Here is a 27,942-nt window from a genome sequence, read left to right on the forward strand (position 1 = left end):
TAACTTTCCAAATTTAAGCTGTACTCAAAAATCCACAGAATCTGCAAAACTCTCAAGTTTCTATATTTAAATAGAAATGTGTGTTGATATACATACTTTAATCAGTCATTTCTTGCTTTCAATATATTTTATTCTGACGAAGTTACAAAAGTAGATACAAAATACTTTTTTTAGAAGTACAGTTAACTGACTTAGAAAAATAGATAAAGCCCCTAAGGATTTTAAAACACAACATAAATTTTTATGTAAAGAACATTTAAAAATATTTTAGATGGTAACCAAAACTAACTTACACAAACTATTTTTGATGTAGAATAGAATGCTGTTCTATAATAAGAAGTCTGTAGCACACTGGTAATCCATTTGGATCTACAGAATACTTGTTTGGAACAGAATCTGATAATGAGAGAAAACTCAAATGAATGTCAGTGCAGTTGCTTCAAAAAAATTACTGCTACCACATGTACTATCATCCCCCAAGGCCTTTTACAGTCTGAAATATCAAAATTGAAAGCAAAAATAGGATGACCAAAGGACTACTATTTTACCTCTTTTCAGAACTCTACAATAGTAGAAACTAAATTCCCTTATGGATCTCAGGGGGAAATAATGTGCCTGTTGAAGGGGCTCAGTGTTTGGTGTCCAGGCTGGCATTTTTCAGGTGAGGGTTTCATACTGACAGGAGGCAGGCTCCTAAAACAAGGCGGTAGCACCAGCACCATGACTAGGGCTGCTTTAAAACAAATTTCTAGGACTTACGCTCTTTGGGCCTGATTTGTTAATGCTTATGAGGTAATGATATTATGTTTGAGAAGCTCTACTTCTAGTATACCTCAATGCTCAGAGAGAAAGCCAACAATACAATCAGGAAACCACAATATTGACAAAACTTAGTACTACCACCAAGATTGTTCCTCTTGCCTTGGCACTACTAAAAAACTTTACCTTTGTTACTAAAGTCATGGTGAATACAGATTTTGCATTTCTCATGTAAGCAGCTATATAAGCTAGGGTTCTACAAGCCTTAGATGAAAGGAAAAACTTTGCTGGAAGCCCTGTAAAAATCACTTTATTCACAATCTGAAGAATGAAAGACAAATTTGGCTGTCAATACAAAAACTGTAGTACAAGGAAGTTCAACTGTTTAAAAATCTGCACATCACTGTACAAGTGTTTTTTGAAGGCCTGAAAATTAAAGCACCATAGGATTAACTGCATAATTTAGCAAGCACTCTCTACCCCATGACTGTAATCATGTATGAAGAGCAGAGATCAGACACTGAGAGGAGATGGCTTCTGATTAGCAAGGGGGAAGGGAGTGAGTGTTATGGAACAGGCAAACCTTGGGCATGGGGAGATAAAAGTGAGAAGAGTCAAAAAGATTGATTTCTATAGGCCGGGCACGGTGGCTCATGCCTGTAATCCCAACACTTTGGGAGGCTGAGGCGGGCGGATTGCGAGGTAAGGAGATGGAGACCATCCTGGCTAACACGGTGAAACCCCATCTCTACTAAAAATACAAAAAATTAGCCAGGCATGACTAAAAATAGAAAAAATTAGCTGGGCGTGGTGGCGGGCACCTGTAGTTCCAGCTACTCAGGAGAGGCTGGGGCAGGAGAATGGCATGAACCTGGGAGGCAGAGCTTGCAGTGAGCCGAGATCCCACCACTGTACTCCAGCCTGGGTGACAGAGTGAGACTCTGTCTCAAAAAAAAAAAAAAAAAAGATTGATTTCGTCAAACTGTTATCAAAGGTTGGCCCTCTAGCCAACTCAGGAAGGCGCCATCCTCTTCCCATTATCTCCCCTTCCTCCAATTCTCCTCCTCCCCTTGGCTCCCTAGCCTTGGAGGTAAACACTAATATTTCAGTGCACTGTTGGTTAAGCCAGATTGGCTTGGGAACCTGGTAATGTTTTTATTTTTATTTTAAAAAAGGACAGTCTTGAGTCTCAAAATACCAACACATCTCTGATTTATGTCCCATTTATAAGCTGCCTTTACTACTGTCCTGACATGTGATCGTCTTTCATTTGCTTTGGAGCTTAGTGGTGAAGAGAGGGAACATTTCCATAACTGAAAATAAATGGAGAAAAGTGGTAACTCTTTTGTTTGAGAATATTTGAAATACTAGAAATAATGAGGAAAGTACAAGCCTAGCTGAGAAACTAGTTTCATCACTTGTGGACTTAAAAAAGTAAAGCTAACAGGGTTTAAAGTTGAGAGGCAGTTCACATCCTAAGTGATACCTAGAAACCTGCTTTCTTGTTCGCAAATGATCAACATGAACATACAGAATGGCTGACATTTGGACCTTTGGATAAGCTTAAAACATGGATTGTGGAATGTCTAATAGAGGGCTTTTCTCTCTTTTTTTTAATAATGACTGTCCCACACTTTAATTCCTCAATGATATGTGGATGCTAACTAAATCAGATGAAATGTTTTCTTTAAAATTCTGTATATATTTAAGAATTTCTAGGAAATGATTATTTAAAATGGAGTTTCTAAGTAATTATTTTCTTTATAGTTTAGTGGAGTAAGAAAAATAAATCTAAAAAAAAACATCAAATCTAACCTTTATCAAAGCCATCGAGGAGGTTGGTAAAATACTTTGCAAAAATCACAGCTCTGAACCACATAGAATGCTGATGAACTTAAAGCTTTGCCAGTTTGGCAAGTCTTCCAGTATAATACTTGTTGTGCCTCAGTACATTTTAAATAGACAGCTAGAGTTTACTAAATCCTAGGAATCAAATAAAAAATAAATGTTTTCTTCACTGAAGGGGAAGGCTTTTATATCCCAATAGAAATAGAGGAATTTCAAGTTTTGATACAAAAACAATTAAAACAAGATAAAACCCAAGTGGAAGCTCAGTCCATCTTTTGAATATTAACAAAATGAGGATTTTTTTAAAACTTATTTCTCCCATTTTGTTTCCTTTAAACACATACACTCACTCACTCTCTCAAGAATAGGTAGCACACCAAAACTTTATCTGTGTTATAAGATGTGTACACCTTCATGGTTTATTGTGGTTTTCCTTAAGTTTTATCCTTATTAGGATGAAGTTCATGCATTTCTACACTACTCTTAACTAAGGCTCAAGAGACAATAAAAACATAGAAGTAATTTTTTAATAAAAGGAAATAAAATAATCAAGTACTCTGAGTATTTTCCTCCATTCTCTTATCCAGAATTTTAAGGCCTCTGAAAAATAATGAAATAATAAAAATAGTGGTTTTGAGATCTAAATTTATTAATATTTTGGATTCCTTTTCTCAGCCAAAAGCTACTATCTGAATTAAGCTTTTCAGTTTAAAAGCCTGGAAGACCATCCTTAGAAGACATTAAAAAATTACTTCTGATACACACACTCCTAATAATTTAGATAGATATGAAAACAATCTCAAATAAAGATCAAAAAATAAAGTCCCTGTAAAAATAACTTTGGTTGCTCCCACCCACACGTCATATGATGATTTAAACTGCAATCATGAATTTTGAAAAAATAGACGTATCTTATCTATAAAAACACTACCATACAAACTTGAAACTAAAATGTTATCTGAAGTGACACAGATGTTCTAAATCTCAAGGATACTGAAAAATACATTTTTTATTCGTAAAATAAAAGAATAAAACCAATCTGATTGTGTTATTAGGAAATTTGTTCTGGAAACTTATTCATAAATTATTGATGGAAATTCTTAATGTCCATTGTGCTGTCACCTAAAACAGATTCAATCATTTTCTTGTAAAGAAATGACTGAGTAAATGAGTAAAAGAATAATAAGTAAATTTATAAGCTACAGGTTAACCATCACATATTACAACCAAGTATGACTATGTGATAACAACAAGAGTGGTCACACAGTACTTAAGATTTGGCTGTGTCCTTAAGGTCTTACTCGGAAACTATCACACCAACCTACCTTTGGGATAATTTTATCAGTAGACACAGGCAATGGGTATCTTTTTATCCTGTTTTCTTAAAGTTTGTATCACTAGTCTATAACAGATAGCAATGAGATAGTTCTAGCAATAGATGAAGCAAGGGGGTAACTGTGTTCTAGAAGAAACATTTATCTGTCTTTTGATCCAAGTTTCTCTATTAATTCTTGAAGAGGTGCCAGCTCACGCCTATCAATCAGATTAAACTCCTAAAAAGAGAAGAAAAATAACAATTAAAAATGGATCTAAAACTGAAACTCTGTAAATGTCTTTTGGAGAAGGGATTCCCAACTCTAGTTTTCTGAAGTCCAAAAGAATGATGAAATAACCTCTGTGAACATTTTAAAGTAGGCATTTATTCTTTTTCTTTTTTTTTTCTTTTTTGTACAGATGTGGTCTATGTTGCCAAGGCTGGTACTGAACTTTGGCCTCAAGTGATCTGCCCACCTTGGCATCCCAAATCCCAAAGTGCTAGGATTACAGGGGTAAGCCACCACGTCCAGCCCTCTCTTTTTAAAAATATAGGTATGATATTGTGATATAAGTATTTGGTCTTCCTTTTTCTTTACACACAGCTCCTAAAACCCTTGTTGGAATCACCAGAGTGCTAAGAGTATCTTGTATGCTAATGAGATGACTGGTGGCTGGAGGCTCCTATAAAGCTTCAGGATGGGAACTGGTCAACCTTCAGCCAGCCCTCTCCCCTTCCCAGATCACAGCCTCTGGGGAGGGGAAAGGGCTGGCTGAAGGTTGAGTTGATCATCAATGGCCAATTATTTAATCAATCATGGGCAAGTAATGAAGCCTCCATAAAAACACAAAAAACAGGGCTCAGGAGAGCTTCCAGATAGCTGAACACGTGGAGGTTCCTGGAGCATGGCATGCCTGGAGAGAGCATGGAAGCCCCTTCTCCTTTGGCCCTACACATCTCTTCCATCTGGCTGTTCATCTGTATCTTTTGTTAACATCTTTCATAATAAACAGGTAGAGATAAGTATTTCCCTGAGTTCTATAAGCGGCTCTAGCAAACTAATCAAACCCAAGGAGGGGGTTGTGGGAACCCTGGTTTATAGTCAGAGGTATAGGTGACAATGTATTACTTTTGATTGATATCCCAAATGGGGGGCAGTCTTGTGGGACTGAGCTCTCAAACTTGTAGGATCTGATGCTACCTCCAGATAGACATTATCAAAATTGAATCAAATTATAGGACATTCATCTGGTGTCCACTGTAGAAATGATCACTTGCTTGGTGTGTGAGGGACAGTCCCCATGTTTGGTCACAGAAGCGTTCTGTGTGGTGAGAGTATAGTAGGATAAAGGGAGTTTGTTTTTTCCCATATTTTTACAATGGGAGACTTATTAAAGAACCAACTCTAGGTATCAGTATGATCCTCATTGTGTTAAACATTAAAATCAAAACTGTATATATATTTAAATTTACATTAAAATTACCCGAAAAAGGCCGGGCATGGTGGCTCATGCCTGTAATCCCAGCATTTTGGGAGGACAAGGTGGGTGGATCATTTGAGGTCAGGAGTTCGAGATCAGCCTAGCCAACATGGTGAAACCCCATTTCTAGTAAACATAAAAATTAGCCGGGCGTGGTGGCAGGTGCCTATAATCCCAGCTACTGAGGAGGCTGAGGCAGGAGAACTGCTTGAACCCAGGAGGCAAAGGTTGCAGTTAGCCGAGATCGTGCCACTGCACTCCAGTCTGGGCGACAGAGCAAGACTCTGTCTCCAAAAAAAAAAAAAAGAGGGGGGAAAAAAAAAAAAGAAACTACCTGAAAACTACAAACTGAATTTTTGATAAAGGGCCAGTAGACCTTTTATGCAACAATCTGAGAAGGAAGATCAGGAAGAGCATGGTACAGTACACAAAACTATAATACACAGTATCTACTATAAAGCTACCAGGTTTTTTCATCATAAAATATCTAGACAGACATGTATATGTAATTCAATATGCAAAATATAAGTATCTCTAAAGTTAGGCTAAAGGCATACCAATTCTTTGATATCTTTTTCAAACAATGTGAATTATTTTGATTTTTTAAAGTTCCAATTCTGGCCGGGTGCTGTGGCTCAGGCCTGTAATTCCAGCACTTTGGGAGGCCGAGGTGGGTGGATCAGGAGTTCGAGACCAGCCTGGCCAACATGGGAAACCCCGTCTCTACTAAAAATACAAAAATTAGTTGGGGGTGGTGGTGGGCACCTGTAATCACAGCTATTCGGGAGGCCGAGGCAGGAGAATCACTTGAACCCAGGAGGCGGAGGTTGCAGTGAGCCAAGATCACGCCATTGCACTCTAGCCTGGGCCACAGAGTGAGACCCTGTCTCAAAAAAAAAAAAAAAAAAAGTTCCAATTCTGACTAAGGGTCCACAAAGCAACAGGCCACAACCCTGAATGGATAATCCTAACCACAGACCTAGGGTGGCCAGAGGCAGAAGGCCCAAATGGGGGTGATACCTTTTTATACTGCTGCACACATCAATAAAATAAATAATGTGGAAAAGAGAACAAAACAGAAAAGAGAAGCTTGCCTGTAATTGGCTCTACATCTATAACTAAGACACACAGCTCTTTGTTGAAGTTCCCAATCCAAATAAGTCCAAGTCACAGGACACAGAAATCAACATGGATCAACTTACCTGAACAAAGAAAATAAAGTGCTTAAAGGAGGTGTTGAGGTGGGCCTCCTCTTGCAGCTGCATCACAGAATCAAAGTGCTGGTGATAAATATGGGCATAAACCCTGAACAGACGCTTTAGAATAGTCTTTGCCACAGACATAAAGTTTTTGGGAAATGGGACACCTGCAATTAAATACACATATGAAACAATTATTTGGTTATCTAACAGTAGAAAGTTGTTTATTTGTGACAGGGTCTCACTTTGTCACTCAGGCAGTGGTGCAATCTCAGCTCACTGCAGCCTCGACCTCCTGGGCTCAACTGATCCTCCCACCTTGGCCCCCCAAATAACCTGCACTACACGCCACCATGCCCAGCTAATTTTTTGTATTTTTTGTAGAGATGGGGTTTTGCCATGTTGCCCAGGCTGGTCTTGAACTCCTGAGCTCAAGCAATCTGCCCGCCTCAACCTCTTAAAGTGCTAGGATTACAGGCATGCCCAGCCTAACAGCAGAAAGTTTACACACTGCCATGAGCACCTGCAACATATAAACACACACATTCATAAATACACACAAACCTACCTCTGTATATATTTTTTAAAGCCAAGGAAATGAAAACCCAAACCCCAATCCTCACAAAGTACCACACTTTTTTCTGACTGCCTTAGGCACAGGTATCAAATTATGTAAGATGCTGCTAAATCAAAGTTCAAAAATCCTGTAGTTTTAGTTTTTTGTTTTTTGTCCCCCCCCCCACCCCGGAGACTGAGCCTCACTCTGTCACCCAGGCTGGAGTTCAGTAGCATGATCATGGTTCATTGTTACCTCCACCTCCCAGGCTTAAGCAATCTGCCCACCTCAGCCTCCAAAGTAGCTGGGACTACAGGCGTGCACTACTACACCTGGCTGATTTTTGTATTTTTAGTACAGATGGGTTTTTGCCATGTTGGCCAGCCTGGTCTCGAATTCCTGGCCTCAAGTGATCTGCCTGCCTTGGCTTCCCAAAGTACTGGGATTTAGTTCTTTAATATTAGAGAGTTTCTTTCTGAAATTAAATGCAACAAGAGTAAGTATTTTGATCATAAATATTTTTACTTTGTAATTTGTAACTCTAAAGAAATTACACTGGCTCCGTGTGGTGGCTCGTGCCTGTAATCCAGCACGTTGAGAGGCCGTAGTGGACAGATTGCCTGAGCTCATAAGCCTGAGTTCAAGATAAGCCTGAGCAACAAGGTAAAACCTCATCCCTTAGGAAAAAAAAGAAGAAATTACATACATACGCACTCTCTCAATGAGGACTGGAAACTCTCCTAAGCAAAATAAAAAGGCAGCCGGGCACAGTGGCTCACGCCTGTAATCCCAGCACTTTGGGAGGCCGAGGGGGGCAGATCACGAGGTCAGGAGGTCAAGACCAGCCTGGCCAAAGAGACCAGCTTGGCCAACATGGTGAAACCCCATCTCTACTAAAAATACAAAAATTAGCCAGGGGTGGTGGCAGGCAACTGTAATCCCAGCTACTCGGGAGGCTGAGGCAGAGAATTGCTTGAACCCGGGAGGTGGAGGTTGCAGTGAGCCGAGATCGCGCCACTGCACTCCAGCCTGGGTGACAGAGCGAGACTCCGTCTCAAAAAAAAAAAGAAATCTCTTTTTAGAAAACAACGGGGGTAGAGTTTGGTATCCTTCCAAGCAGTGGAGATGGGGATCCAACTGGTTACATTCCTGAGAATTTTGGCTGACAATATCAAAGTCCATTAGAAAACAGGGACAGACAGGTCAGGAGTTCGAGACCAGCCTGACCAACATGGTGAAACCCTGTCTCTACTAAAAATACAAAAATTAGCCAGACGTGGTGACTAAGGCCTGTAATCCTAGCTACTCAAATGGCTGAGGCAGAAGAATCGCTTGAACCCAGGAGGCGGAGGTTGCAGTGAGCCAAGATTGCCGCCACTGCACTCCAGTCTGGGCGGCAGAGTGAGACTCCATCTCAAAAAATAAAAATAAAAATAAACCTACATTAGTTGGCCTTAAAGGCCTGTTCCACAACGCTACTCTTGAAACACATTCTTTTTTTCAATTTTTCAGAAAACAAAGGCTTAAAACACTCTTTCCTTGCATTTTTTTCCCAGCCAGTTCTCAATAACCTGAAACTTATTTTGCTGATGTTTGTGGTTATTCTCCACCACCACCCCAGTCCTCATTAACGTGACTTTTCAGACATTATCCTGGAGCTTACAGGCATGTTTTCCTGGGCAGGATCTTGTATTCATGTATTGAAAAAGCAGATTTCTGGCCGGGTGCAGTGGCTCATGCCTGTAATCCCAGCACTTTGGGAGGCCGAGGCGGGCGGATCATGAGGTCAGGAGATCGAGACCATCCTGGCTAACACAGTGAAACCCTGTCTCTACTAAAAATACAAAAATTAGCCAGGCGTGGTGGCGGCACCTGTAGTCCCAGCTACTCGGGAGGCTGAGACAGGAGAATGGCAGAATGGCGTGAACCCGGGAGGCGGAGCTTGCAGTGTGCTGAGATCATGCCACTGCACTCCAGCCTGGGCAACAGAGTGAGACTCCGCCTCAAAAAAAAAAAAAAGCAGTATTCTGGCCAGGTGCAGTGGCTCATGCCTGTAATCTCAAGCTCTTTGGGAGACTGAAGCAGAAAGGTTGCTTGGGCCTAGAAGTTTGAGACCAGTCTGGGCAACACAGTGAGACCTCGTGTCTACAAAAAATTGAAAATTAGCTGGGCGTGGTGGCACACGTGCCTGTGGTCTCAGCTACTCAAGTGGCTGATGTAGAAGGACCACTTGCGCCTGGGAGGTCAAGTCCACAGTGAGCTGTAACTGCACCACTGCACTCTAGCCTGGGCAACAGAGTGAGAGTCTGTCTCAAAAAAAAAAGTAGATTTCAAAATCAAACATCTTTTTTTATCAGAATGTATAAATGGGCATCTTTCTAATAAAAGGATATTAATAATGTGCATATATTAGTAAAAAATTAATGATAAACAGTTCTGTCTGAGACTAAATAACTGGCAAAAGTAAGATGCAGATAATAGCCTAATGGCAGGGGAGTGGGATTAAGAGGTGGTGGATCAGAATGAATTATTTAAGAACAAGAAAGTGAGAAAAAAGCCAGGCATGGTGGCTCATGCCTGTAATTCCAGCACTTTGGGAGGCCAAAGTGGGTGAATCACTTGAGGTCAGGAGTTCGAGACCAGCCTGGCCAACATGGTGAAACCCTGTCTCTACCTAAAACTACAAAAACTAGCCAGGTGTGGTGGTGGGCGCCTGTAGTCCCAGCTACTTGGAGGCTGAGGCACGAGAATCGCTTCAACCCAGGAAGTGGAGGTTGCAGTAGAGCCGAGACTGTGCCACTGCCCTCCAGCCTGGGTGACAGAGTGAGACCCTGTCTCCAAACAAAAAAGAGAGAAAAGAGGATAAATCAAAAGAATTATTTACCTTCCATAAGCAGAGACTTTAATGAGTAAAGAAATAAGTAATTTGTTTAAATCTAAACACTTTCCAAGCTGAATTTAACAGATATATTCAAGCACAGTCAATATAAAATAAAGATATATGAGAAAGGAAATAAAAGGTTTAATAGCAGAATGGAAAAACTGACCAACAACAAACAGACCAAATGTTAACAACTTGGAAAAAAACTGTTGTCCTGAAAAGCCTCTATAAGACTGCAAAAAGGAATTCAAAAATATGTTGCTCATAAAATACTCTTAAGTTGAAAATGACAAGGAGTGATTTCATCCATGAATACTGATGCCAAACTCTTAATCAAAATATTAACAAATACTCTTCCAGCAGAATATTTTTATTAAAAAATGGAGAAAACCTTATGGTCATAGGCAACAGATACTGGAAAAGCATCTGATAAACTCTATAGCCATTCCTCGTTAAGAACAATTTTTGTAATATAAATGGTGGATATTTTTCATTAATATAATTTTTTAAAAATCCATACACCTCTAACCAAAAGCCAAGATTTCGGCTTACTGCAGAAATACTAGAAGTACTTGCATAATAGTAAGAAGGCAAGAAACGGATGTCTGCCATCATCACCATTACTCGGCATTGCGCTTGAAATACCACTCAGTGCAATCAGATAAGCAAGCGTAAAAACAAGAATACATTATCAGAAAGGAAGAGACAAAATGAACACTATCTTAATATGACACAGTTGTATACTTTAAAAATTCAAGAGAACCAACCAAAAACTAACAGAAAAAGAGTCTGATGGTTAATTATAAAATTTAAATAAAAATCAACAGCTGGCCAGTCCTGGTGGCTGACACCTGTAATTCCAACACTTTTGGAAGGCCAAGGAAGGAGGGATGCTTGAGCCCTGGAGTTCGAGACCAGCCTGGGCAACATAATGAGACCTCATCTCTACAAAAAATAAACAAAATTAGCCAGGTGTAGTGGTGCGTGCCTACAGTCCCAGTTACTTGGGAAGCTAAGGTGGGAGGATCACTGGAGCCCAGGAGATCAAGGCTGCAGAGAGCTGTGATCACACCCCTGCACTCCAGGCTGGGGAACAGAGTGAGACCCTGTCTCAAAAAAAATTAAAAATAAATTACAATAAAAACCAACAGCTTTCCTATATACTAAATAACCAGCTGGAAACCAGATTATCAATAAAAGACATAAAATCCCTAGAATAAAATTAAGAAACTTGAACAACTGACATAAACTACAGAATTTTACAAGAGAAAATAAAGCTAAAGACATGAATAAATGAACAATATCTTGTTCTTGGCTAGGAAGATTCAGTAAAAAGAATCCCTATCTATAAAAATTAAATATAGTCATAATTAAAATCTAATTTTTTTTTCACCTTGACAAAATGTTTCTAAGTTCTTTGGAAAAACAAATATCCCAGAATAGCTGTGAATATTCTGAAAAAGAAGAGCGAGGAAGGGAGACCAGCCTTACAAGATGCTAACAGATGCAGAGCCACAGTCACCAACGTGTGGAATTTCTATAGGAACAGATAAAGAGACTAAAACATGCAAAAATATATGGCAATTTGTTGTGCACATAAGATAATCAGGGGAGAAAAGGCAAATGTGTTTAATAAATGGTAATGGGACAAACTGACTAGTATTTCCATTTGGAAAAAAATTAATGTAGCATTCAGGGAAAAAAAACTTCCCAGCCAGGCGTGGTGGCTCATGCCTGTAATCCCAACACTTTGGGATGCCAAGGCAGGTAGATCACTTGAGGTCAGGCGTTCAAGACCAGCCTGGCCAACATGGTGAAACCCCATCTCTACTAAAAATACAAAAATTAGCTGGGCATGGTGGCATGTGCCTGTAGTCCCAGCTACCCAGGGACTGAGGCATGAGAACTGCTTGAACCTGGGAGGTGGAGATTGCAGTGAGCCAAGATTGTGCCGCTGCACTCCAGCCTGGGCAACAGAGTGAGACTCTGTCTCAAAAAATAAAAAAATAAAAAAAGAAAACATGAATAAATATTTTTATAATCTTGAAGCAGGGAAAAGCTTTCTAATTGTTATATTAAAATCAAGTCATAAAAGATATAATAGGACAAAATAGTAAGGTTGTGTACAGCAAAAATACTCCATGAACAAAATGAGACAAAAGGTAACCCGGGGAAAAAGATATACAACACATACGACAAAGCGCTAATATCCTTTACACAGAAATAGATGAAAGATATAAACAGAAAACACACAATGATCAATAAAACAAACAAAAAGGCTAAAATGCTCAATCTCATCAACATTTTTTAAATGCATATTAAAACAGAAATTTAACCAAATTAGAAAATATTAAAAAATGAGTAATAACCAGTGTTGGTGAAGAAACACTGGCAAACACAAACAGGGCTGGGGGGAGTACATGTTGGTACAAACTTTTTGGAGGAGAATTTGGCAGTCTCTACAAGTATAACAATGTTAAAAAGAGCAGATTTATCATTCAAAAAGAGAAACAGGCTGGATACGGTGGCTCAAACCTGTAATCCCAGCACTGTGGGAGGCCAAGGCAGGAGGATCACTTGAGGCCAGGAGTTTGAGACCAACCTGGACAACACAGCAAACCCCCCCAACTCTATTTATATTAATAAAATAAAATTTTAAAAAAAGAAAGAATACTTCGACAATGTTAACTCACCAATCTTAGAAGGAAAAAGAGTTTCATCATCAAGCTGATCTTGAACCCAAGTCATCAAATAGTCAATGTATTTTGGTGCAGAACATTTGATTGGCTTTTTAATATTAGTACCATCTGCCCAGTGATATTCATATCTGAAGAGAAAAATGTTTTACTGATAAATTTTTCAAAAATATTAACAAATGTGCAAGTTGTGATTAAAACAGGTTCATTCACATTTTGTCAATAGAAGTTACATCTAACTTTAATAAATCACCTTAAGTTCTACTGAAGATTACTGTGAGTTCCCTATGTAATTATCCAGAAAGTGACAGTTATAACTGGAAGAAAAAAGGGAGATAATGTGGCAGGAGGCAATGCCAGGATAGATGTTTTATTAACAACACAGCCCTGGGAAACACAAAGGAACTGCATTCCTGTAAAGCAGAAGGTTGCTGAGGGCTGGGCATGGAGCCGATGGATCCACTACATTCTTCTGAGATTCTTGGTCATCAATTTATTATCATCAATGGACCCAAGATTATAAAACTCTGTTTTGGGGGCCAGGTGTTAGAGATATACATTAGGCATGCATACTTTCCCCCCTTACCTTTGCCGAGCTAGAAGGATTAACAAGAGTTATACAAAACATCACTGTGTAAAGCATTTGAGCCATAGGTAAGTTTAATTTTCCTGTTTATTTTCATTTCTTTTAAAGCTTGAATAATAAAACTTAACACAATATAAAATAAAAACATTCTTCCTAAAATATTATAATAAAAATAGAACTACAAACTCATTAGGGATCTTTTTTCCTTTACACTTGTAGCAAAGTCAGAAAGGACAATCTTTTCTAAGAAGCAAACATCTTGATAACATCTATCATCACATAAAATCAGTCATTTATTATAAGAAAAAAAAAAGAAACTGGAAGGAAACACAGCAAACATTAATCCCATCATATGATGGACTTAATATTATGAGTGATAGAGTTCCATCTTTTTCAGTATTTCTTGAAATTTATTAAAGTCAAAATGTTTTTAAATCTAGCATCTTCAAGCCAGATAATTACTTCTAAATTGTGCTGCTTTAAATACTAAATAAGCACAAGAAAAAATAATCAAATATTAAAAGATCAACTAAAAACTCTTCCAAGAAATTCATTTAAAAACTAGAAACAGGAAACATAAATGTTATTAATAAAATTGAAAAAATAAAATGTTTGCAATTCAAGACAAATGTAACTCAAATTTCTGTTTATTCCTATAATAAAACATTCAGACTTACTATGATGCAACATAAAAATGAAAACAGGGAGTACCCACATACTAAAGTATTTAATAATAACTAATAGCTGGCCAGGTGCAGTGGCTCACACCTTTAATCCCAGCACTTTGCGAGGCCGAGGTGGGCAGATCACTTGAGGCCAGGAGTTTGAGACCAGCCCTGGGGAACATGGCAAAACCCCATTTCTACTAAAAATGCACAAATTAGCTGGGAGTGGTGGCACAGGCCTGTAATCCCAGCCACTCGGGAGGCTGAGGCATGAGAACCGCTTGAACCCGGAAGGCAGAGGTTGTTAGTGAGCCAGGATCACACACTGCAATCCAGCCTGGCAACAGAGCGAGACTCTGTCTCAAAATAAATAAAATTTTAAAATTACACAATAACTAAAAGCTTACAGGTGAGTAGTCAAGAACCAATAAAACTGAATCACCTTCACACAAACGGATAACAAATCTTAACTGTTTAATTTCTATCAATTGGTGATAAAGTAAAACTAATCCAAACACCTATATAATAGGCAGTATATGTACCTCGGACCTGCAGACATGACTGGACAGCTTGCTTCAGTGCAGAATTCTGTAATAGTTCCATATAACATGTTGATCTGGTTAAAGAAATCCACAGCTGCAGAGATAATAGAATTGTGTCAAAATGTCTGTGTAAACACAAAATATGAGACCTCCAGTTGAAGGAAAAACAGACAATACATTTAGGTTCTTAGCTGAACCCTTGAGACATTCAATAATCCAATGATACTGTAACTTGTAGTATACTACACTTTTTTTTTTCTCTGAAACAGTCTTGTTCTGTTGCCCAGGCTGGTGCAATCTTGGCTCACTGCAACCTCCGCTTCCCGGGTTCAAGCAATTCTCCTGCCTCAGCCTCCCAAGTAGTTCGGATTACAGGTGCATGCCACCACGCCCAGCTAATTTTGTTTTGGTATTTTTAGTAGAGACAGGGTTTCACCATGTTGGCCAGGCTGGTCTTGAACTCCTGACCTCATGATCCACTCGCATGTAACAGCAGGAAAATAAGATACTGGAGATAATTCTAACTTAACGATGACTATTATATCCTTTGGATATACAATATGATTACATCCAAGGGAATGAAAAATCCATAGTTTACCACTTTGGACCAGATAATACCATTTGTGTTAGGAAAGAGACAAAACATGTTGTGGAATATACTGTGAGGGAGAAGGTGCACCAGCTGTATCCAGAGGCATTTAAAAGATCTAATTAATCATAAACATTTGTTTTTGAGGTCTACAGCATACTGAGGACAAAATACTTCAGATAAAGTCCCCTGCCCTGGAGTCTCTAGCTAACAGAAAGGACAAAATTAAAAGAGATGAATAATATAAGATATGGCCAGGCATGGTGGCTCATGCCTGTAATCCCAGCACTTTGGGAAGCTGAGGTAGAAGGACTGGTTGAGCCCAGGAATTCAAGACCAGCCTAGGCAACAGAGTGAGATTCCATCTCTACAAAAATTTTTAAAAAATTAGCCAGGCGTGGTGGTGCACACCTACAGTCCCAGCTATGTAGGAGGCTGAGGCGAGAGGACTGCTTGAGCCCAGGAGGCTGAGGTTGCCGTGAGCTGTGATGGTGCTACTGCACTCCAGCCTGGGTGACAGAGACACTGTCTCAAAATAAAAATAGCAATAATAGTACAAGATATAAGAAGACAGGATCCAAAGGCCAACGATAAATGCTACAGAGAAAAGGCAAAGTCATGAAGAGTTGGAAGTAGTCAGGGGGTACTTCCTGAGGGAGCTTCAGCTAGATCCAGAATAAAATGGAAGAGGCAGGGGGTGAGTAAATAAACTTTACTGAGTGAGTATACTCTATGCAAAGAGAACCACATAAGCCTTGGAAAGTTTCAAAAAATGTTTTAGGCTAGGTGCAGTGGCTCACGCCTATAATCACAGCACTTTAAGAGGCCAGGATTTGAGACCAGTCTGGGCAACACAGCTAGACCCCGGTCTCTATTGAAAATTTTAAAAAATTAGTTAGCCATGGTGGCACACGCCTGTAGTCCCAGCTACTCAGGACGCTGAAGTGGAAGGATCCCTTGAGACTAGGAGTTCAAGGTTGCAGAGAGCTGTGAGGGTACCACTGCAGTCCAGCCTGGACAACCCTGTCTCGAAAAAATAAATAAATAAAAAGTTTTAGTCTCCTGTCTAAAGAAGTACCTAAAAACAACTAGGTATTTTCCAAGTTTCTTAAAAAACAAATAGATTTTTTTAAAATGCTATCTTGTAAAAGGAATTTTATACAAAACTCCCTCACTTATAAATCTTCCTCTTAGTCATGTTTCTAAGAAAGTAACACTTAGGTATTCAATATTCACTCAAAACAAAAAATATGCCCAGGTGGAAGTTGGTTTGGTCTAGAAGAGCTATTCTCAAAACGTGGTCCAGGAATCCCCTATCTGAGGGAGGATCTGTAAGGTCAAACCATTTTAATTGTTCTTTTCACTCTTACTCTCTCAAGAGGGCACAATGGTGTTTTCCAGAGGCTCCATGATGTGTAATATCACAACAGACTGAATACAGAAACGGATATAAGAATCCAGGTGTCTATTAAGCCAGACATTAAATAAGATTTGCAAAAATATAAAACAATGCCATACTTCTCACTAAAATTTGTTATGGAAAATAGTCATTTTTCGTAAAAACATATTTATGGTAACATGTAATGGGTTTATTATTGTTATTTTAAAATGAATTTGGGCCGGGTGCAGTGGCTCACGCCTGTAATCCCAGCACTTTGGGAGGATGAGGCAGGCGGATCACTTGAGGCCAGGAGTTCTAGAACAACCTGGCCAACATGCCAAAACCCCGTCTCTACTGAAAATACAAAAATTAGCCGGGCATGGTAGCACATGCCTGTAATCCCAGCTACTCTGGAGACTGAGGTGGGAGAACTGCTTGAAGCCAGGAGGCAGCTGCAGTGAGCCAAGATCGTGACACTGCACTCCAGCCTGGGCGACAGGGCGATACTGTCTCGAGAGAAAATAAAAAATAAAAATAACTATTTACATCTTCTCAGTTTTAATTTCCAACAGAGTATCACGAGATATACCCAATATAATTAAAAGCTCTTTGGGGTTCTCAATAATTTTTTTTGTATTTTTTGTATTTTACCTTGTTTTTCCCCCGACTGGGTCTCACTCTGTTGCCCAGGCTGGAGTGCAGTGGTGCGATCTTGGCTCACTGCAACCCCCGTCTCCCAGGTTCAAGCAATTCTCCTGCCTCAGCCTCCTCAGTAGCTGGGATTACAGGTGTGTGCCACCACACCCAGCAAATTTTTGTATTTTTAGTAGAGCTGGTGTTTCACCATGTTGCCTAGGCTGGTCTCGAACTCCTGACCTCAAGTGATCTGCCAACCTCAGCCTCCCAAAGTGCTGGGATTACAGACATGAGCCACCATGCCCAGCTTGTATTTTACTTTTTTAATTAACACAGAATGGTACATATTTATGGGAATCAATAATTTTTTAAGAGGGTAAGTGGATCTGAGACCAAAAAATTTGAGAACTGCTGATCTACAGCAGTTAAGTCTCAAAGAAAAATCTAAGGCTGAAGGTCAATAAATGACTTCAGAATAACAGATGATAATCTGAATAAAGTTTTGTTTGTTTGTTTGTTTTTGTGTGTGTGTGTTTTTTTAAGATGGAGTCTTGCTCTGTCGCCCAGGCTATAGTGCAGTGGCACAACCTCAGCTCACTGCAACCTCCACCTCCCGGGAAGTGATTCTCCTGCCTCAGCCTCCAAGTAGCTGGGACTACAGGTGCGTGCCACCACACCTAGCTAAATTTTTGTATTTTTAGTAGAGATGGGGTTTTACCATGTTGGCCAGGATGGTCTCAATCTCCTGACCTCGTGATCCGCCTGCCTCGGCCTCCCAAAGTGCTGGGATTACAGGCGTGAGCCACCATGCCCGGCCCTGAATAAAGTTTTTTAAAAAAGGTTTTTTTTTGGCTGGGTTTTTTCCAGCACTTTGGGAGGCCATGGTGGGTGGATTACCTGAAGTCAGGAGTTCGAGACCAGCCTGGCTAACATGGCAAAACCTCGTCTCTACTAAAAATAGAAAAATTAGCCAGGTGTGGTGGCGGGCACCTGTAGTCCCAGCTACTCAGGAGGCTGAGGCAGAAGAATCACCTGAACACAGGAGGAGGAGGTTGCAATGAGCTGAGATCGCGCCAGCCTGTGCGACAGAGCAAGATTCCATCTCAAAAAAAAAAAAAAAAATTAGCAGGGCATGGTGGTGTGAGCCTGTAGTCCCAGCTACTCGGACGGGTGAGGTGGGAGGATCACTTGAGTCCAGAAGTTGAGGCTGCAGTGAGCTATGATCATGTCACTGCACTCCAGCCTGGGCAACAAAGCAAGACCCCATCTCTGAAGAAAAAAAAAGAGATTCAAGAAGCATACACACAGGCCTCTTTGGATCCTGATTTAAACAAAGCATAGATTTTTAAAGCAAAAAAATTTTAAAAAGAAAACATTTGGCCAGGTGCGGTGGCTCACGCCTGTAATCCCTGCACTTTGGGAGGCTGAGGCGGGCAGATCACTTGAGGTCAGGAGTTCGAGACCAGCCTGGCCAACATGGCAAAACCTCCTCTCTACTAAAAATACAAAAATTAGCCGGGCGTGGTGGCGGACACCTGTAATCCCTCAGCTACTGGGGAGGCTGAGGCAGGAGAATTGCTTAAACCCGGGAGGTGGAGGTGGAGGTTGCAGTGAGCCAAGATTTCGCCACTGCACTCCAGCTTGGGTGACAGAGCAAGACTCCATCTCAAAAAATAAAATAAAAAAAAAATAAAAAATAAAAGAAACATTTATGGGACAGTCATGAAAAATGTGAACACTGACCAGATATTTGATAAGTTAAAGGAGGATGGCATTGTCATTATCTTTACAAGTTCTTGTCTTTTAGACATACCTTACTGAAATATTTATAGATAAAACATCATGTCTGGGATTTGCTTAAAATAATCAGGGTGACATATAGAAGAAGAAAAATTGGTCACAAACTGATATTTGTTGGAGCTGGGTAATGGAATGAATACCTGGAATTCACTGTACTTAGTCTACTTTTATATGTTTGAAATTTTCCATTAAGAAGTTTTAGGCTGGGCGTGGTGGCTCATGCCTGTAATCCTAGCACTTTGGGAGGCCAAAGCAGGCAGATTGCCTGAGCTGAGGAGTTCAAGACCAGCCTGGGCAACATGGTGAAACCTTGTCTCTACTAAAATGTAAAAAATTAGCTGGGTGTGGTGGCGTGTGCCTGTAATCCCAGCTACTCAGGAGACTGAGACAGGAGAATGGCTTGAACCCGGGAGGTGGAGGTTGCAGTGAAGCAAGATTGAGCCATTGCACTCCAGTCTGGGCAACAGAGCAAGACTCCATCTCAAAAATAAATAAATAAATAAATAAATAAAAAGTTTTAAACTTTTTATTTAAACTTTTTATTCCTGGAACATCTGAAATCTCTAATTTAAACTTTATTACCCAGAAATGATATCATCTCAGAAATGAGAGACTCTCACATTCAAATCTCTAGCCTTAGCATATTGTCCCATGTCATGCACTTGTTCTCTTGAACTTAAAGTGACTTTCAGCTCAGATCCCTCCATTTTCTCCCAATCTCTCAATTCCCTCTGCCACTCTAAGTCACAACAATCAACTGTCCATATGAACTGCAATTGACTTTTCTGGATATGCAGGCTGATGAGTACTGCTGGGAGTGGAAGTAAAACTGTAGATGGATTTGCTACAAAGTCACAGACCACAACAGGCATAATCTTTTCATTTATCAATCTTTTATCTGACCTTACTCAGCTTTTCATACTATTCTTCTTAGAAATTGCCCAAAAGCACTCATCATTTCTCCTCAGCTCCCTCTACTCAACCTCACAAACTACCACCTAGTACTCTGAAAAGAGCAACATAGCTTTGGATGTATTTGTACTTAATGTTTCTTTACAGATAATTTGTTATATTAAAACAGTTCTAACTGTAAAAGAAAATTCATTAACAAAGAGATTTTAGCAAAACCTTTCTAGAAAACAGCAAAGTTACATTTTAAAACTTACTGTTCACAGCAATCCATTCATTGAGATCCTCTCCCTCAGGCAACATAACAGCTTGTCTCAGATTCCCACTTCCTAGAGTTGCTTCTGCATGTTTTAAGAGTTCATACTGATGAGATCCTTCAGGGATATTCTTCTTTGGTTTGAATGTTTTAGAAGAGCGGCTGCTGCTGTAAGATTAAAAGTGCAAGTATATGAATTTTTAAGACTGGAAGTAGAACAGGTAGAACAACATAATTTTAGGTATATAAAGTAGCCTGTAAAAATAAAATAAAAAATACTCTCTGGGCCAGGCATGGTGGCTCATGCCTGTAATCCCAGCACTTTGGGATCACCTGAGGTCAGGAGTTCAAGACCAGCCTGACCAACATGGTGAAACCACACGTCTACTAAAAATACAAAAATTAGCCAAGCATGATGGCGCACACCTGTAGTCCCAGCTACTTGGGAGGCTGAGGCAGAAGAATGGCTTGAACCTGGGAGGCAGAGGTTGCAGTAAGCTGAAATCGCATCACTGCACTCCAGCCCAGGTGACAGAGCAAGACTCAGTCTCAAAAAAAACAAAAACACTCTCTGAAAAATGCCAAGATAGGAAGATGATGATCACAATACAAGAATGCTTTTTTTCCCCTGCCTGTAAAAGCAAGATTAGCAGCACAATTCCACAAATAAGGCAATTTTACTATGCCCTCTGAAGAAGTCTGGTACAGAGAAACATCCTGGATTTTAGTTCTTGATCTGACACTAACTGTGTCTTCTTGAGAAACTGAACCTTCTTTTGGCCTCAATTTCGGTTTTTTTTTTTTTTTTTTTTTTGAGATGTAGTCTTACTCTGTCACCCAGGCTGGAATGTAGTGGCACAATCTCGGCTCACTGCAATCTCCACCTCCTGGGTTCAAGCGATTCTCCTGCCTCAGCCTCTCGAGTAGCTGGGATTATAGGCATGCACCACCACACCCAGCTAATTTTTTTTTTTTTTAGTAGAGATGGGATTTTGCCATGTTTGCCAGGCTGGTGTCGAACTCCTGACCTCAAGTGATACACCCGCCTCAGCCTCCCAAAGTGCTATAGAAAATGATGGGGCCATGCCGGGCGCGGTGGCTCACGCCTGTAATCCCAGCACTTTGGGAGGCCGAGACGGGTGGATCACGAGGTCAGGAGATCGAGACCATCCTGGCTAACACGGTGAAACCCCGTCTCTACTAAAAATACAAAAATTAGCCGGGCGTGGTGGAGGGCGCCTGTAGTCCCAGCTACACGGGAGGCTGAGGCAGGAGAATGGGGTGAACCCGGGAGGCGGAGCTTGCAGTGAGTCGAGATCGCACCACTGCACTCCAGCCTGGGCGACAGAGCGAAACTCCGTCTCAAAAAAAAAAAAAAAAAAAAAGAAAATGATGGGGCCATGGCTAGGTGCGGTGGCTCACACCTGTAATCCCAGCACTTTGGGAGGCCGAGGCAGTGGATCACGAGGTCAAGAGATTGAGACTATCCTGCCCAACATGGTGAAACCCCGTCTCCACTAAAAAACAAGTACAAAAATTAGCTGGGCGTGGTGGCACACGCCTGTAGTCCCAGCTACTCGGGAAGCTGAGGCAGGAGAATGGCTTGAACCCAGGAGGCGGAGGTTGCAGTGAGCCAAGCTTGCACCACTGCACTCCAGCTTGGCAACAGAGTGAGACTCCGTCTCAAAAAAAAAAAAAAAAGAAAAGAAAAGAAAAAAGAAAATGGTGGAGCCAAGTGCAGTCGCTCACACCTCTAATCCCAGCCATTTGAGAGACCAAGGCAGGAGGATTTCTTGAGCCCAGGAGTTTGAGACCAGCCAGGACAACATAGTAAGGCGGAATGGGGGGTGGGGAAGATAAAAAGAAAATGGCGCAGGGAGGTTTAGTTCAAAAATCCAGTATTCTATATCAAAATATTTGAGACGCCTTGAAAGCAAACCACAGTAAAAGAAACACTAACATCTTTAAGTTTATAATAGGGAAAATAAATGAGACAGGCACAACTCGTTATTGAGGAAAAAATGTTTTTATTCCTATCTCACACCATCCATAAAGTCTTCCTGCACAAAACTCAGAAACCTCAAAGAAAAAGTGGACAGATTTCAAATAGTATCAATTAAAACTTTCATAACAGAGCAAAAAGACAAGTAACCAAATAAAAGTACTTGTAACATATATTACAAAGGATGAACTGGATAATAGAGGGCTTCTGTAACTCGTTAAGAATATAAGGAATCCTTTAGAAAAATAGGCTAAGGAGATGAATAGGCAATTCAGAAGTATGACAATCAATGAGCATGAGAAAAACTGTTCAATTAAAGTAAGATTTATTTTTTCCCTAATCTGAATGTCAAAAGTTTAAATGATTACATTAAATGTGGACTAGGGTAGGGGCCCCCAACCCCAAGGACACAGACTGGAGCCCACAGAAGGAGATGAGCAGTGAGCAAGCAGCAAAGCTTCATCTGTATTTACAGCTGCTCCCCATTGCTGGCATTACCACCTGAGCTCCACCTCTTGTCATATCAGCAGAGGCATTAGGTTCTCACAGGAGCGTGAACACTACTGTGAACTGTGCATGCAAGGGATCTAAATTGCATGTGCCTTATGAGAATCTAAAGCCTGATGATCTGTCACTCTCTCCCATTACCCCCAGATGGGATTGTCTAGTTGCTCAGAGCTCCCACTGATTATACATTATGATGAGTGGTAGAATTATTTCATTATATATTCCAATGTCATAATAGAAATAAAGTGCACAATCAATGTAATGCATTTGAATCATCCAGAAACCATCTCCCCAACCAGATCTGTGGAAAAATTGTCTTCCACAAAACTGGTCCCTGGTGCCAAAAAGGTTAGGGACCACTGGACTAGGGTACAGAGAAACTAGTATTTTAATACACTACTGGTGAAAGTATAAAGTGTAACATTTTGGGAGGGCAATATGGTAGTATCTATTAATACTGAAAAGCTCCTCAAGCCATCCATTCTACTTCTAAATATCTCCTCTAGATATGGATAAGAATTTTTTTCCAAGATTGTTTTTAATAGGGAGAAACCTAGAAGCAATCCTCAAGTTTATCAGTAGAGGATTGAATTAAAGTATGGTACATCCATATCATGGAATATTGTATAGAAGTTAAGAAAACCAGACAGAGTACACGTATTCACAGGGAAAGATCTAATACATGGTTAAACATAATACACAACCAAACGTACAGCAGGAGCCCATTTTGTAAATACATAGAAAATATCAAAAACTAAACTCATCAAAACTGGTGATTACTTCTAGGAAGAGGAATGGAATAGAACTATGGACTTTTACTTTACCTGAGTAATTTGGAATTTAAATAAGACTGATTAAGAAGTAAAAAAGAGCCGGGTGCAGTGGCTCACACCTGTAATCCCAGCACTCTGGGAGGGCAAGGCGGGTGGATCACTTGAGGTCAGGAGTTTGAGACCACCCTGACCAACATAGTGAAACCCCGCCTCTACTACACACACACACACACACACACACACACACACACACACACAAACTAGCCGGGCGTGGTGGCAAGTGCCTGTAATCCCAGCTACTTGGGAGGCTGAGGCAGGAGAATTGCTTGAACCCGGGATGCAGAGGTTGCAGTGAGCTGAGATCGCACCACTGCACTCCAGCCTAGGCAACAGAGTGAGACCCTGTCTCAAAAAAAAAAAAAAAAAAAAAAAGGAGGTAAAAAAGAATGATGAAAACACTAAAAATCATATCTGAAAAGTTTTTAACATGATAAAAAAAACTATATTGAACAAGGAAGAAAATATTTGCAAATCATAGATGTGATAAAGACTTGTATCTAGAATGTATAAAGAAGTCCTACAACTCAAAAAGACAGCCCAATTTAAAAACAGGCAAGGCCGGGCGCAGTGGCTCACGCGTGTAATCCCTGCACTTTGGGAGGCCGAGGTGGGCGGATCACTAGGTCAGGATATTGAGACCATCTTGGCTAACACGGTGAAACCCCGTCTCTACTAAAAACACAAAATATTAGCCAGGCATGGTGGCAGGCGCCTGTAGTCCCAGCTACTTGGGAGACTGAGGCAGGAGAATGGCGTGAACCCGGGAGGCGGAGCTTACAGTGAGCCGAGATTGAGCCACTGCACTCCAGCCTGGGCGACAGAGCAAGACTCTGTCTCAAAAAAAAAAAAAAAGAAAATTAACAAGTGCTATGAGAGGTGTGGGGAAATTGGACCCCTCATAGAGTACTTATGGGAATGTAAAATGGTGCAGCACTTTGAAGTTTGGCAGTTCCTCAAAAGGTTAAACATAGTTACCACTTAAGCCAGCAATTCTGCTCCTAAGTATATACCCAAGAGATATGAACACATACATCCACGCAAAAACCTGTCACATATGTTCACAGCAGCATTATTCATAATGGCCAAAAAGCGGGAACAACTCAAGTGTCCATCAAGAAGGCCAAGTTTTAAAAAAAGAAAGTCTCGGCCGAGTGCGGGAGTGGATCATCTGAGGTCAGGAGTTCGAGACCAGCCTGGCCAACATGATGAAACCCAGTCTCCACTAAAAATACAAAAATGAGCCAGGTGTGGTGGCCGGCGCCTGTAATCCCAGCTACTCGGGAGTGTGAGGCAGGAGAGTCGCTTGAACCCGGGAGGCAGAGGTTGCAGTGAGCCGAGACCGTGCCATCCCCGGAGGCAGAGGTTGCAGTGAGCCGAGACCGTGCCATTGCACTCTAGCCTGGAGGACAGAGCGAAACTCCGTCTCAAAAAATAAAAAAAAAGAAAAAGTCTCGTATTAAGGTCCACAAAGCAACTGTGCATTCACTAATTAAATATCAACTCGTAAGAAAAAAGTGGAGGAGGGAGGAATACTTCTATTAATATGGAAGTTAAATCTAAATCATACAGGCTTTTTGACAAGGTAATCGTATTTTAGAGACCATTCATTTACGAGAATAACCCAAAGGAAGGAAAATGAGACGCAGATAAACATATTCTGAGTAGTGCTATTTTATAATAGTAAATACTGGAAGGAATCCCAGTTTCTCACAATAAAGTGGGTAAACTCTGGTTATAAAAAATAAAAAAAAAACTATATAGTGTTTTTATATTGTATTTAATAAAAATGTCAAGCATGTGGATTACATCCATAACTAAAATTGGATAATTATTCAATCACAAAACACACATTTAAGCAATATACAAGGTAGAGAGAGACACCTGAGAATAAAAAATACTGTGCCAGAGCAATGCTTCTCAAACCTTAATGTGCATAAGAATCATCAGGGAATTTACAAGCTTTTTCATTTTAGCCTTGTTTGGTTGGGCTCAGGCATTATCTCTAAAATGAGATTCTAAGGTATGCCTATCAAGTTAATTGCTGTAGTGCACTAAAATGGCAATACTGTGTTTCTGCAATGGGACTATGAATTTGTTTTAACTTTCCAAATTATTTATAATACTGCAATGTACTATATAATAATGCTGTATGGTATATTACATAATGATTAAAAACACAGGATTCTACCGAGGACAAGAGAAGTTGGTTAAAATCAAAGCCAGTAAGTGGGCAGAATCAGAACTGGACAGAACGATCCGACTCCAAGGCCAGCATCTTAACTTCAAGCTTCTCAAACTGCGGCAACGCACATTCTCCTGGGGCGGCATTTAACACCGACAATAATGAAACTGGACCTATAACCGAGCAACGAGTTAAGTCGGCAAGGACGGTTTCTAGAAGCTCGAGACAAGAGAAACTGGGGGCTCGCGGCTCCGCCCCCAGATCGTCTCCCCGCCCTCGGGGGCGCTCGGGCGGAAAAGTTTGGAGGCGCGACGGCCCCGGGGCCTTTCTACTCCCCAGCCTTCACGCTCCGTTTCCTTTACTTCGACCTTCATCTCTGTCGGCCTCTCCCAACATCTCGGCCTCCCCCGCGGACCCGAACAGAGGCAAAACAAACGCCAGCTACCCCGCCCCCGCCTCGGCCCCCAGGCCGAGCCCTCGCCTCAGGTCCGGGGAGGCCTCCCCCACAACCTCGGCCCGCAGGCCCGGCGCCCGCGGCCCGACCCCACTCACAAGAGGAAGCTCATCTTCGGTCCTCAGAGGGGAGGCGAGGGGCCCCTGGCCCCCGCCTGGATCAGGATTCGGAGCTGGCTAGAGGGAGCGGACCGTCCTTAGCTCACGGGCAGCGGAAGCCGGGCCGCCGCCGCTCGGAGCCGGGTTTCTGGCCGCTGCGAGCCTTTGCAAACCTCGGCGCCCGCCTTGCCCGCCTACCCCACCTCGCAGACCCGAAATGCGGAACCAACAAAATCTCGCGAGCTAAGGTTTCGCTGCGCCGGGAGGGACTTGTCGCGCCCCCTTTCGCTCCGCCTCGTCCTAGAACTCGGCCAATCATCGCTCTCCAAGCCAGGACCTCCCTCCCCCGGAGGCGTGGCGAGGATGGCGGTCCTGCGGAAGGGGCAGTGGCTGGTCCTGCTCTTAGAGTATCTTGGTGCTGCTGGGTTTCGATCCCGCTCCCTAGGTTATGCAGGGACCTCTATAAGCGCTGCGTACTCCTGCAATTTTTAAAATTGTTAATTTAATTTTTACTTGAAATATATTCACATAGCATAAAATCTGTCCTTTAAACATGTACCCTCTAGTGGTCTTTTTCGGTTTTTTCTTTCTTTTTTTTTTTTTTTTCTGAGGTGTCTCGCTCTGTCGCCCAGACTGGAGTTCACAGTTCACTGCAGCCTGGACTTCCTGGGCTTAAGTGATCCTCTCGCCTCAGCCTCCCGAGTAGCTGAGACCACAGGTGCCTGCCACCACGCCCGGCTAATTTTCTCAAAGTTTTTGCAGAGACGAGCGTCTCACTGTGTTGCCCAAGCTGGTCTTGGACTCCTGAGCTCAAGGGATCCTCCTGGTTTGACCTCCCAAAATGCTGGGATCACAGGTGTGAGCCACTGCCTCCGGCTTTGTTTATGTTTTCAAAGTGTGCCAACCATCAGCACTAATTTTTTTTTTTTTTTTGACAGAGTCTCACTTTGTAACCCAGGCTGGAATGCAGTGGTGCAATCTCGGCCCGTTGCAACCTCTGCCTTCCAGATTCAAGTGATTCTCATGCCTCAGCCTCCCGAGTAGCTGGGATCACAGTCGTGCGCCACCACACCCGTCTAATTTTTGTATTTTTTTTTTTTTTTTTTTTTAGTAAAGACGGGGTTTCGCCATGTTGGCCAGGCTGGTCTCGGTCTTGAACTCCTGACCTCAAGTGGTCCACCCGCCTCGGCCTCCCAAAGCTGGGATTACAGGCGTGAGCCACCGCGCCCAGCCTAACCATAATTTTAGGCCATTTTCATCACCCCGAAAAGAAACCCCATACCTATTAGCAGTTACTCTTTATTACCCACCTCCCTCCTCCCAACCCCTGGCAACCACTACTCTACTTTCTATTTCCATGGATTTACCTAATCTGGACATTTCATATACACTGTGAATGGAAGCATACATTATGTGGTCTTTTGTGACTGACTTCTTTCACTTAGCATAATGTTTTAAAACGCACCCATATTGTAGCATGTATCAAAGCTTCATTACTGGCCAGGCACAGTTGTGGCTTACGCCTGTAATCCCAGCACTTTGGGAGTCTGAGGCTGGCGGATCACTTGAGCTCAGGAGTTCGAGACCAGCCTGGGCAACATGGTGAAACCCCGCCTCTACAAAAACACAAAAATTAGCCAGGCGTAATGGTGTGTGCCAGTGGTCACAGCTATTCGGGAGGCTGAGGCGGGAGGATTCCTTGAGTCCAGGAGATGGAGGCTGCAGTGAGCCAAGATGGCGCCACTTCACTCCAGCCTGGGTGACAGA

The 27,942-nt window shown here is 41.5% G+C and overlaps 1 protein-coding gene across 5 annotated transcripts, besides 4 other annotated features; it reads right to left on the reverse strand.

The window, feature by feature from the left end:
- On the reverse strand, window positions 43-26,394 carry MOB1A (MOB kinase activator 1A). 5 transcript variants are annotated; one of them, NM_001317110.2, is made up of 6 exons: window positions 26,176-26,394; window positions 20,101-20,264; window positions 14,529-14,622; window positions 12,733-12,866; window positions 6,606-6,769; window positions 43-4,160 (listed from the first exon to the last, which is right to left on the reverse strand). In NM_001317110.2, the coding sequence occupies exons 1-6, from the start codon at window positions 26,187-26,189 to the stop codon at window positions 4,083-4,085; spliced, it is 648 nt and encodes a 215-aa protein (NP_001304039.1). In that variant the 5' UTR covers window positions 26,190-26,394; the 3' UTR covers window positions 43-4,082. The 5 variants fall into 5 exon arrangements, with proteins under 5 accessions (NP_001304039.1, NP_060691.2, NP_001304040.1 ...); NM_018221.5 differs by having other exon boundaries at window positions 20,101-20,267; NM_001317111.2 differs by lacking the exon at window positions 26,176-26,394 and adding an exon at window positions 25,630-25,829 and having other exon boundaries at window positions 20,101-20,267.
- Window positions 24,054-24,246: a silencer, noted in NCBI's record as "fragment chr2:74403666-74403858 (GRCh37/hg19 assembly coordinates)". NCBI's record gives its function as "represses an EF-1alpha promoter that drives an FKBP-Casp9 reporter gene in an ReSE screen in K562 erythroleukemia cells {active_cell/tissue: K562}" and the evidence as "EXISTENCE:reporter gene assay evidence [ECO:0000049][PMID:32094911]".
- Window positions 25,419-26,102: an enhancer, noted in NCBI's record as "H3K27ac hESC enhancer chr2:74405031-74405714 (GRCh37/hg19 assembly coordinates)". NCBI's record gives its function as "activates a minimal SCP1, AML or CMV promoter by ChIP-STARR-seq in primed H9 embryonic stem cells {active_cell/tissue: H9 hESC(primed)}" and the evidence as "EXISTENCE:reporter gene assay evidence [ECO:0000049][PMID:30033119]".
- Window positions 25,419-26,155: a biological region, named in NCBI's record as "H3K27ac hESC enhancer GRCh37_chr2:74405031-74405714".
- Window positions 25,966-26,155: a silencer, noted in NCBI's record as "silent region_11653". NCBI's record gives its function as "represses an Ori minimal core promoter by ATAC-STARR-seq in GM12878 lymphoblastoid cells {active_cell/tissue: GM12878}" and the evidence as "EXISTENCE:reporter gene assay evidence [ECO:0000049][PMID:35858748]".
- Window positions 26,395-27,942: the final 1,548 nt, after the last annotated feature.

Source organism: Homo sapiens, chromosome 2 (assembly GCF_000001405.40).
Source record: "Homo sapiens chromosome 2, GRCh38.p14 Primary Assembly".
Taxonomy (NCBI): Eukaryota; Metazoa; Chordata; class Mammalia; order Primates; family Hominidae; genus Homo; species Homo sapiens.

Bases quoted from the DNA above. Each gene is read 5' to 3' on its own strand.
- MOB1A (NM_001317111.2), bottom strand. From the start codon at position 25,769: ATGCCGCCCCAGGAGAATGTGCGTTGCCGCAGTTTGAGAAGCTTGAAG. The intron at 20,268-25,629 runs GTAGAATCCTGT...TTAATCTTACAG, and splicing joins ACCAACTTCTCTTGTCCTCG to CAGCAGCCGCTCTTCTAAAA. The intron at 4,161-6,605 runs GTAAGTTGATCC...TTCTCTTTTTAG, and splicing joins ACTTTATTTTCTTTGTTCAG to GAGTTTAATCTGATTGATAG.